The sequence below is a fragment of the Homo sapiens genome, chromosome 3 (assembly GCF_000001405.40).
Source record: "Homo sapiens chromosome 3, GRCh38.p14 Primary Assembly".
NCBI lineage: Eukaryota > Metazoa > Chordata > Mammalia > Primates > Hominidae > Homo > Homo sapiens.
In genome coordinates this window covers 155,000,184-155,012,990 of record NC_000003.12, presented here as the reverse complement: position 1 = coordinate 155,012,990, position 12,807 = coordinate 155,000,184, and positions in this window count along the sequence as shown.

Sequence of the window (12,807 nt, the reverse complement as noted above, 5' to 3'; positions counted from 1 at the left end):
TTGCACTCCAGCCTAGGCAACAAGAGCGAAACTCCATCTCAAAAAACAAACAAACAAACAAAAAAAGAAACAAAAAAACACTCACGAATAACAGTATTCCTTACCTCAATAGGCATTTTGCAAGGATTGAATAACTTTATACACCTAAAAGCCTTAGAAGTATGCCTGACGCATTTCATTCAACAAATATTCACTGAGCAGCCACTATGTGGCAGACACACTGCTAGGTGCTGGCATATTATCATGAACAAAAATCTCTGTCCACATCAGGAGAGGGAACTGGACAATAAGCAGGAAGAAGGGATAAGCATTGTGGAGAGAAATAAATACAGAAAGAGGAGGAGGAGAGCACAGGTGGGTGAATCATTTTAAATAGTGTTGGGGTGGCACGGAGTGAAACCTGCAGATATCTGGAATGAAGAGCAGCCCCACTGCGGGAAGAGGCAGGAGACTCTTTGGGAGGTAATTTCTAACTCCCCTTCTCTCAACTTCAGTGACCTGCTTGGCCAACAGTGTGTGATATGGTGACATTCTTAGACTTGGGATGCTAGCTCAGCAAAAGGCTGGCAGCTTCTATTCAGGCAACTTGGAAGTCAACTGCCATGTTAGAAGCCTAGCTATCCTGAGACTGCCAGGGCTATGAGGAAGCCCAAGCTAGCTATGTGGAGAAGGCACCTGGGGACACTGGAGGGGAGAGTGTTATAGATGGAGATGGCCGGGGGAGGGAGAGAGATGCCCACCAACCCCTAACTGTCCCTGCCATCCTAGCCCAGTCACCAAAAGTATGAGTAAAGAAGCCTTCGTGTGACTCCAGCCACAGACATGATTTGCCTACAACTTTACGAAGTATGGTGAACAAGGACTGCCTAGTTGAGCCCATTAGCCCCAGAACTGCAAAAGAAAGTAATAAATTGTTGTTTTAAAAAGCAACTAAAAAACAAAATTAAAAAACCCCACAAAGGACAGGGAAGCCTTTGTGCTACAGTGACCTAGGTCAGGAGGTGAGGAAATGTAAACCAAAAGGAAGTGTAAACCAAAAATTAAATTCTATGGCCCCCAACCATCTGAATGAACACCTCCTGTCAGCGACGGCATTCCAAACCTGAAAAATTGGTTCAGGCCAAGACAGGAAGGGAGGGTCAGACATGCCTCATTTTACCCTACTCCCTTTCGTAATTCATGAAAGATCAGCATTTAACATCAACACAGACCTTAAGTCTGATAAGAAACGTTTACAAGGGCTGGGCATGGTGTCTCACATCTGTAATCCCATCACTTTGGGAGGTTGAGGTGGGCAGATCACGAGGTCAGGTGTTTGAGACCAGCTTGGCCAATATGGTGAAACCCTGTCTTTACTAAAAATACAAAAATTAGCCACATGTGGTGGCACGTGCCTGTAGTCCCAGCTACTCTAGAGGCTGACCCAGGAGGTGGAAGTTGCAGTGAGCCAAGATCACACCACTGACTCCAGCCTGGGCAACACAGCAAGATTCTGTCTCAAAAAAGAAAACAAACGAACAAACAAACAAAAAATCATTTACAATCTATTATCTGAAGCCTGGTACCTGGACACTTCATCTGCATGATAAAATTTTGGTCACTACAACCCCTTATTATAACCCAGACATTCCTTTTTATTAACTCTTTCAACTAATTGCTAATCAGAACTTTTTAAAATTTACCTAAAACCTGGGGAGCCCCTCCTGCCCCTTCGATTTGTCCTACCTTTCCAGACTAAACCAATGTTACATCTTACATGTATTTGATTGATGTCTCATGTCTCCCTAAATGTATAAAACTAGGCTGCACCCCAACCACTTTGGGCACATTTTCTCAGGATCTCCTGAGGTCTGTCATGGGCCATTGGTCACTCATATTTGGCTCAGGATAAATCTCTTCAAATATTTTAAACAGTTTGACTCTTTTCATCAACAGAAGTCATATATTTTGCCATGGCCATTATTTGTTTTGGCAATAAGGAGACCTATACTAATTGGGCAGGTTCAGTAGGGTAGTGAGTGTGTAAGCAGATGGAAGGAGGCGGGAAAGAGAAGAAAATTTAGTTATGAAGGAGAGCAGCAAAATTTGATGAGGTTTATCATCCTGTTATTACCTTCTAATTTCTCATCAGCAACTGAGAGGAGAGGAGCCCAGGAATGGAGAGGATTTGAAGACCAAGATCAGAGATAAGGGAGGGTTTTGGGGGGCAAGATTGTTTGTTTTTTAGCAAAGAGTCACTAGGACAAGTTCTTATACTAACGGAAATAAGCTGGTAGAAAGGGAAAGGCTTGTGAGGACAGAGATAGGGCAGTTAATGAAGGAACAGCATTCCTGTGAAGGAGAGAGGGAATGGAATCCAGGCACACGAGGAGGGGTTGGCCTTTCACAAGGTCAGAAGGAAGAAGGAGAGGCTGGGAGTCCCTGCATGGAGTCTGAAGGTCAGGTGGGGAAATTTACCCAGAGGAGGGAATTCTGTGAGTGATGTATGAGGTACGCTCAGCAGCTGACAGTGAAGGAAGGGTGAGGAAGGTTTAAAAAGAGAAGGTCTGAAAGGCTTTTCTTGGGAGTTTGAGAGACAACATTCTACAGAAACCCAGAAGAAATTTTAGGGTCCTATTGATTACCTATTTGAGGTTTCAGATAATAAGATTAAAATGAAATAAGTCAATATAGCTTACTCGATTTCCTTTGATAACTCCCCTCCTCCACTAAGCCAGTTTCCACCCATAGTTATTCATGCATAACTATGATAAAAATCATAGAGGGGAAGAATTTAACCTATGGAGACAATAAAGCAAAACAAAACACAAAATAAAAAAAAAAAGTAAGACCTCTTAAATTGTTGATTTTGTTTTCATAGAACACACTATGTATATCATTTATCCACACCCTTCATGAACATTAATTATAAGGAACTTTAGTATTTAATCAGTATCAGACTTTGTTTGGATAACTTGAGGAATGTTACCATATGTCTTGTAAAGATGGTGACATTAAAAAAAACACAGTCAAAACTACAATATAGCTGTTGTTTCTTGACATTCCAGCAATGAGAACTCTTTTTTTTTTTCTTTTGAGATGGAGTTGCGCTCTTTTTGCCCAGGCTGGAGTGCAATGGCGTGATCTCCGCTCACTGTAACCTCCGCCTCCTGGGTTCAAGCGATTCTCCTGCCTCAGCCTAGTAGCTGGATTACAGGCGCCTGCCACCACACCTGACTAATTTCTTTTGTATTTTTAGTAGAGACGGGGTTTTGCCACGTTGGCCAGGCTGGTCTAGAACTCCTGACCTCAGGTGGTCCGCCCGCCTCAGCCTCCCAAAGTGCTGGGATTACAGGTAGGAGCCACCATGCCCGGCCCTAAGAACTCTTGATAAACTGATATGTGTGCCTCCCAATAGCACAATAATAATGGAGACATTCAATACCAACTGTGGAGCTTTAAGAGCTTTTGCAGGGCTGTTAGAATCAGAGAAAGTATAAGGTACTCCAAGGTGGTTTTGTCCTCATTTTGTCACATTTACATTTAGAAAATGCTTATAAATTTTTAGATGAATCAGCACATCCAGTTTCCACACAATTCCATATAACAAAGAGTTTACAGCATTTTACTGACATTTTCAAAGAAGATACAGAACAATCACATTGGGATGCGAGGGGGTCAGAAATTGGTGAGACTGTTTTTCCTGGCTGAAAAGAGAAAGGGCCTCAAACTCATAAATTAGCAACAATTATGCTTTTGTGCTATGTCACTAGATTCCGTTAGATGTCTATCTTTGTAACTTTCTTACAGACTAATTCCTCACTGCTAGCAAATTTTTAGCCATGTAACCCAGAGTTATAAAGGAAGGCATTTTTTTTTCATTGCTATTCTTAAACACCGCCCCCCTTCTTTTATAACAAAAACTGAAGTAAATATAGTATGTGTTCTGGAGCTTCATTTTCTAAGGCTGGCTATCCTCGATAGGATTGGATGAACAGGGTAGGTATTGGAGTTAGGTGGAACCGGGGGCAACAGAACTGGCACCAGAAGTAAGGCTGAAGTGAAGCCCAGCATTCTAAGGGTGTAGCTAGCTTACCTGTGGTTGAAGCCAGACACTGCTCTGGGATTCTGATATGGTTAGGCTTTGCGTCCCCTCAAAATCTTATCTTGAATTATAATCCCCGTAATCTCCATGTGTCAAGGGAGGGACCCAGTGAAGGTAATTGAATCATGGGGGCGGTTTCCCCCATGCTGTTCTCTTGATAGTGAGTGATTTCCCATGAGATCTGATGGTTTTATAAGAGGCTCTTTCTCCTTTGCTAGGCACTTCTCCTTCCTGCCACCCTGTGAACAATGTGCCTTGCTTCCCCTTTGCCTTCTGCCATGATTATAAGTTTCTCCAGCCATGCTGAACTGTAAGTCAGCTAAATCTCTTTCCTTTATAAATTACCCAGTCTTTCACAGTTCTTTACACAGTATGAAAATGGACCAATATGGGTTTCCACCAGGAGCTTGGAGTCCAGTGGATACTTCGGACTTTTGCTCATATAGTAGTTCCCCCATAACCAGAAGGGATTCTAAGAACACCAGTGGGTGCCTGAAATCTCAGATGGTACCAAACCCAGTTGCTGTAAATCAGAACACATTTCTGTTAATGTCTTCCAATGACAAATGTAATGACTTTTGCATCTTAACCAAGCACTTATTATGCACTGTGGCTATAACTTTTGCAGTTTGAAGTACAACAGCACAAATTTATTTTTTGTTCTTCACAGTTTAATGGATAGAAGATTTGCTCTTACAATAAATCTTAGCAATCTCAGAACATTTTATATATATATATATATATTTATTAATGAATACTTACAGGAAACATTTTTTAGCTCCTCTTATATTTGAATTGCTAGCATCACTGCTCTTGTAGTTTGGGGCCGTTAGCATGTAAAATAAGGATTACTGGAACACAAGCACTGGGATACCATGACAGATGATCTGATAAGAGATCCTGTTACTAAGTAATTAGGGAGCCAGTCAAGTGTAACTGTGAATATGCTGGACAAAAGAATAATTCACAAGAAGGACTGGCCAGAAAAGTGGGTCAGTAGCTCTTCTCACTGTGGGTGAGAGTGGAAGCTGAAACCAGAACTCCAGATTAGAAAAATTACAGCGTAGAAACCACAGCAGAAGACAAGTCTATGACTGGTCAAGATACGTAGTGAGGAAGATTGGAACTGAGGGATCACATTGACCTTCCTGACTAGCTCTGCCAGTTCCAGGTCCTTGTCTGACTGGCATTGAAGGAAACATGAGGAGCAAAGAACAAGCCCAGAAAGTTTCTAGATGATTATATTTCTCCTATACCAAATCACAAAGATTGTCAGAGTGAATGCAAAGCAATCCCCTAAGTTCTTAATCAATGTATTTATTGATATGGTTTCCTTTTGTAGCAAGATACTAATAAATACATTAAGAACCTATTATAGTCTAGTGGCCAGGCACTGTGGCTCATGCCTGTAATCCCAGCACTTTGAAAGGCTGAGGCGGGTGGATCACTTGAGGTCAGGAGTTTGAAATCAGCCTGGCCAACATGGTGAAAACCCACCTCTACTAAAAATACAAAAATTAGCTGGGTGTGATGGGGTGTGCCTGTAGTCCCAGCTGCTCGGGAGGCTGAGGCAGGAGAGTCACTTAAACCCCGAGGTTGAAGTGAGCTGAGACTGCACCACTGCACTCCAGCCTGGGTGACAGAGCAAGACTTCCTCTCGAAAAAAAAAGAAGAGAACCTATTATAGTCTAGAAACTTTAAGTAGCATGATTTCTTTAAATCCTAGGTACAATAATCTCTTGGTATTCATGGGGGATTTGTTCCAGGACCTCTGTTGGATATCAGAATCTGCCGATGCTCAAGTCTCTTATACAAAATGACACAATATTTGCATATAACCTACACATATTCTCTCGTACTTTAAACCATCTCTAGATTACTTATAATACCTAATACAATGCCTATACATCACTTCATTCCCATGGATTCATTGTAGTACTTGGTATGAGGTAAACTCAAGTTTTGCTTTCTGGAACTTTGTGGAATTCTTTTTTTCCCAAATATTGTCAATCTGTGGTTGGTTGAATCCACAGATGGCAAACCCACAAATATGGAGGACAAACTGTACGTTACTTTCATTTTATAGAATATAAAACTGAGGTTCATAGAGGTGAAAAGAATGCCCAAGGTGATAAGGTAAATTGTGAAGCCAGGATTCAGAGCCATGGCAAAAGGCAGTGATTTTTGCACCATGCTCTGTAGACACTTTTATTTGGTAGCTTTTGCTGATCTGTTTTTTCCCTTCCACCCAGCGTGCCTATTAATATAGCTTATTTAATTTGTAAGAATTACTTTTAAGTTGTTTTGATATTCTTTGGACTGCAATGAGAGCTAGGATGTCCTTGAGACAGAATATCCTCTTGTGCTTTTAGCCTCATGGAAACCAGTACCCAAAGCATGTGGCTGAGACCCTGGGGTTGACTCCACACTGCACTTCAGAGTGGTTGACAAATTGCTCATAGCTGTCTGGGGTTAAAGAACTCATCTCTGAGAACACAAGCTTTTTCATTCCCTTTTTAAAAAAGACAAGTGTGCCTTCTTTTATTCTGCACTTCTAATGATTGCTTTACTTTGAAATGGTCCCTGCACTTGTTATTTTGTCTCACTAGTATCTTCACTCTTGCACTCCTCTCAGACTTAACTTCCATTTTTAACCATGACAGAATAGCTTCTTATTCCATCTAAGCCTTTTCAGATGACACAGGAAGAGATATCATTATATCTCTGTTGAAGAGAGATATACACTACTGCTTAGAAATACTTCTTGATTATTGCATTTAATTGGAGTGGGTGGCCTATTAATACTGATGGAGGAAGAAAATGAATCCTGCATTTAATATGAAAATGTATTATGAAGTGCTTAATGCAGATTACTTATCTAATGATTGAGGTTAACTGATGTCAGTGGTTTTCAGACTGTTGACAGCAGAAATTAAAAAGAAAGCTACCACATATATGGAAATATATTTAGTAAATAAAGGGAGTTTTGAAGGTCACTCTCTGTGTTAGTCAATTTTCATACTGTTATAAAGAACTGCCTGAGACTGGGTAATTTATTTAAAAAAAGTGGTTTAATTGACTCATAGTTCAGCATGGCTGAGGAGGCATCAGGAAACTTACTATCATGGCAGAAGGCAAAGTGGAAGCAAGGTACCTTCTTCACAAGGCAGCAGGAAGGAGAAGTGTCTAGTGAAGGAGAAACAGCCCCTTATAAAACCATCAGATCTTGTGAGAACTCACTCACCATCACCAGAACAACATAGGGAAAACTGTCCCCATGATTCAATTACGTCCACCTGGTCTCTCCCTTGACACGTGGGGATTATGGGGATTACAATTAAATATGAGATTTGGTTGGAAATACAAAGCCTAACCATATCATTCTGCCCTGACCCCTCCAAAATCTCATGTCCTTTTCACATTTCAAAACTAATCATGCCTTCCCAACAGTCTTCCAAAGTCTTACCCGTTCCAGCATTAACTAAAAAGTCCAAGTCCAAAGTCTCATCTGAGACAAGGCAAGTCCCTTCCACCTATGAGCTGGTAAAATCAAAAGCAAGTTAGTTACTTCCTAGATACACTGGGGGCACAGCCATTGGATAAATACACCCATTTAAATGGGATAAATTGGCCAAAACAAAGGGGCTACAGGCCCCATTCAAGTCTGAAATCCAGTGGGGAAGTCAAATCTTAAAGCTCCAAAATAGTCTTCTTTGACTTCATGTCTCACATCCTGGTCACACTGATGTGAAAGATGGGCTCCCACAACTTTGGGCAGCTCCACCCCTGTGGCTGGGTACAAGCCCCAGCCCTAGCTGTTTTCATGGCTGGTGTTGAGTGTCTGTGGCTTTTCCAGGCACACAGTGCAAGCTGTCAGTGGATCTACCATTCTGGGGTCTGGAGGATGGTGGCCCTCTTCTCACCACTCCACTAAGCAGTGCCCCAGTGGGGACTCTGACCCCACATTTCCCTTCCACAATGCCCTAGCAGAGGTTCTCCATGAGGGCTTCACCCCTGTATCACACCTCTACCTGGAAATCCAGGCATTTCCATACATCCTCTGAAATCTAGGCAGAGGTTCCCAAAACTCAATTTTTGACTTCTGTGCACCCACAGGCCCAATATCATTTGTAAGCTGGCAAGACTTGGGGCTTGCACCCTCTGAAGCAATGGCCTGAGCTTTATGTTGGCCCCTTTTAGCTACAGCTTGGACACAGGGAACCAAGTCTCAAGACTGCACAAAGCAGCAAGTCCCTGGGCCTGGCCCATGAAATCACTTTTTACTCCTGAGCCTCCTGGCCTGTGACGAGAGGGGCTACAGTGAAGATCTGTCCTGGAAACATTTTCCCCATTGTATTGGCCATGAACATTTGGCTCCTTGTTACTCATGCAAATTTCTGCAGTGGCTTGGATTTCTCCTCAGATTTTTTTTTCTATAGTATCATCACACTTCAAATTTCTCAACCTTTTATGCTCTGCTTCCCTTTGCTGAGACCAGCTCGGTTGGGGAGACCCTAACCCAGCAGCACTAGAGGAATTAAAGACACACACACATAGAAATATAGAGGTATGAAGTGGGAAATCAGGGATCTCACAGCCTTCAGAGCTGAGAGCCCCGAACAGAGATTTACCCACATATTTATTAATGGCAAACCAGTCACTAACATTGTTTCTATAGATATTAAATTAACTAAAAGTATCCCTTATGGGAAAAGAAGGGATGGGCCGAATTAAAGGAATAGGTTGGGCTAGTTAACTGTAGCAGGAGCACGTCCTTAAGGCACAGATCGCTCATGCTATTGTTTGTGGCTTAAGAATGCCTTTAAGCGGTTTTCTGCCCTGGGCGGGCCAGGTGTTCCTTGCCCTCATTCCAGTAAACCCAAAACCTTCCAGCGTGGGTGTTAGGGCCATTATGAACATGTTACAGTGCTGCAGAGATTTTGTTTATTGCCAGTTTTGAGGCCAGTTTATGGCCAGATTTTGGGGGGCCTGCTCTCAACACCCTTTTAAATATAAGTTCCAATTCCAAACCATCTCTTTGTGAATGCATAAAACTGGACACTTTTAAGAGCACCCAAGTCAGCTGGGCACGGTGGCTCATGCCTGTAATCCCAGCATTTTGGGAGGCTGAGGGGGGTGGATTGGTTGAGGCCAGGAGTACAAGGCCAGCCTAGCCAATGTGATGAAACCTTGTCTCTACTGAGAATACAAAAATTAGCTGGGTGTGGTAGCAGGTGCCTGTAATCCTAGCTACTCAGGAGACTGAGGCAGGAGAATTGCTTGAACCTGGGAGACAGAGGTTGCAGTGAGCTGAGATGGCACCACTGCACTTCAGCCTGGGCAACAGAGCAAAACTCCAAAAAAAAAAAAAAAAAAAAAAAGAGGACCCAAGTCACCTCTTGAATGCTTTGCTGCTTAGAAATTTCTTCTGCCAGTTACCTTAAATCATCTCTCTCAAATTTAAAGTTCCACAGATCTACAGGGCAGGGACAAAATGCTGCCAGTCTCTTTGCTATAGCATAGCAAGAGTCACTTTTGCTCCACTTCCCAACAAGTTCCTCATCTCCATCTGAGACCACTTCAGCCTGGACTTCATTGTCCATATTACTAACAGCATTTTGGTCAAAGCCCTTCAACAAGTCTCTAGGAAGTTCCAAACTTTCCCACATGTTCCTGTCTTCCTTTGAGCCCTCCAAACTCTTCCAACCTCTGCCTGTTACTCAGTTCCAAAGTTGCATCCACATTTTCAAGTATCTTTAAAGCTATGCTCCACTTTCTTGGTACCAATTTACTGTATTATTTTGTTTTCATACTCCTATAAAGAACTGCCTGAGACTGGGTAATTTATAAAGGAAAGAGGTTTAAAATATTGACTCACAGTTCAGCATGGCTGGTGAAGCCTCAGGAAACTTACAATCATGGCGGAAGATGGAGGCAAAGCAAGGTACCTTCTTCACAAGGCAACAGGAAGGACAAGTGCCAAGTGAAGGATGAAGAGCCCCTTTTAAAACCATCAGATTTCATGAGAACTCATTCACTATCATGAGAATAGCATGGGCGAAACTTCCCCCATGATTCAATTAACTCTATCTGGTCTCTTCCTTGACACATAAAAATTATGGGGATTATAATTTAAGATTAGATTTGGGTGGGGACACAAAGCCTAACCATATCACTATCTCTAATGAACAAATATACGAGATTCTAATTTTTTCTTCACCCAAGTGCTTACAGCAACCTTGAAATGCCATTCATGTGGATATCAATTTACTAAAACAGTATCTAAAAGCTTATTAAATAAAAATTTATTATTTTAACATTATTTCTTTAATTTCTCAAAAATTTGCTGCTATAGGAACCCAAATTTCATTTTTCTTAGAGACAGTTATTATAAAATATCTAGTTTCTAATTCATTCATGCTATATAAAGGCCACCGAGTCAGAATTTATAATTTTTCTGGCCTGCAACTGGGTGCTCTTTAAGGAAGTAATTGCTAAGAAACCATGTGACAATAATTGGACTATTTTATGTCATATTGTGAATTTCCAAAATATTCAACAATTTGTTTAAATGGGTGCTAAAATAATATATTGTTTGAACTGCACCCGGTATTCCCATTCTACTCCTGTGTAGAAGTTTTTAAGAAGCCAAGGATTTCTATATAAACATAGTTTTAAACATTTTAGCAGGTTACAATAATTGTAATCATGCTGTGATAATATAGTATAATTATAGGCAAAATAATCTGCATCTGTGAAGAGGTCAAAGTAGCACTGTACAATGTAAATATAGTGTTAGCTACTTTTGAGATTCAAAATGTTTTAGTAGCCTCATTAAAAAAGATAAAGAAACATAAAGTTAACTTAAATAACATTTTCTCTAACCCAATATATACATAATATTGTCACTTCAACATGCAATCAATATTAAAAATTATTAAGAATTTATTTTTTGAACTAAATCTTTGAAAATTTTTATGTATTTTATACTTATGGTACTTCTTGAATTGGGCTGGCCATACTTCAGGGACTAAATAGCTACAAGCGGCTACTGTTTTGATCAGCCCAAAGTTATGCTAATAGTGAGGAAATCTGTTAAAAGGAAGTGAGAACAGTTACACAGAGGTTGCCGTATATTAAGCAATATTCTCAGTATATTCAGCTCTGTTTTCTTTTCTCTCTTTCTCTTTTTAACAGCATGGTAAGGAAGAATTTATTCAAGACCATTGCCATAGGTGTAGGGACCACTGCAATGAGGGCTTGCAGTCGGGGAGAGCAATTAGGCTCAACTCTGAATAGAGCAGGAACGAGTAGGAATTCACAGGCAAGGAACTGTGTGGGGGTCCGTGGATAGAAAATTACTAAGAGGAAACATCAGAAGTAAGGTGGATTCTGGCTAAACTTGCCTAACAGGGCTCTTGCGTAAGACAAGCCGGGGGGATCAGACATCACCTGGGAGATGGTGGAGGATGATGAACCTGATCAGATATGGAGGTTGAGGGTTCTTGCTAAACAGACTCAGCAGGGTTTTTTGCTAAAACTGGACTTTACAATGAAGTGCATTGAAGGAGCTAACAGAAGATTAAGAAGCTGGACTAAAGTTTTGCCAAGTAAAAAATCTTTCCCTTTTGTAAAATGTGTACTGCTGGGACCATGCTGGGCCTCAGCATCTTCCTACACCTTTGGCTTCCAGGAGAGTGTTGTGTCCAGTGACTCCTGGGCATTTTCTTGATTGATACTTTCTAAAAGACAAAAACCCTACACCTTACCTAGGGTCAATTCATTGTCAGACTTTTAAGCCTAAATTTTGTGACAATACTTCAGTGACAATCTCAGGTATTAAAAAAATAAGATTCATTCATTCACCAATTCTAAAGACACACATAAAACATTCTTTTGAAAAATGTGAGATCATGAAAAGGAAATGGAACCATATAATTATTTAAGCATCCCCAAACCCCTACATAATCTGTCCAAAACCAAAACCAGGGAAATCTTCTCAATATAAACTTTGGATCCTGCTAAATCACTGACTCCGCTCTCGTGGTTTATGCTTGTTTTTCCTGCGTCCTCTTTTCCTCCCCTCTCCCCGCCCTACAGCATTTGCTGCTTCCCTGTCTTGGTTTACTGTCCTCAAGTCAGACCTGTACCTATGGTCCCAAGCACTTCCAAACTTTCTCCTCAAATCCAGAAGATCCACTGAGGAACCTAGGTCCTACTTTTGAGAGCTAACCCCTGCTCTGAAAGAGGAAACTCATATTTCTTTGGGACCACTGCTAAAATGACAAACTAACATGTAAGAGTCCAGTATAGAATACACAGTTTTCACCCAAAGAAAGAATAATTGCTTCTTTTTTCTTTTTGAGACAGGGTCTTGCTCTGTCACCCAGGCTGGAGTGCAGTGGCACAATCATGGCTCACTGCAGCCTTGACCTTCCAGGCTCAAGAAATCCTTCCTCCTCAAGCAAGCAATCCTCCCACCTCAGCCTCCTCCTGAGTAGCTGGGACTACAGGTGCGCACCACCACACCTGGCTGATTTAAAAAATTATTTTTGTGAGTTGGGGTCTCATTATGTTGCTCAGGCTGGTCTCGAACTCCTGGGTTCAAGTGATCCTAATTGCTTCTTTTAATTGCTTCATTTTATATTCACAGTTATCCTCTATTCAGGTGGTGTTTTCCTACTCTAAAAGGAGAAATCAGGCAGATGGCAGTTCTGTTTTAT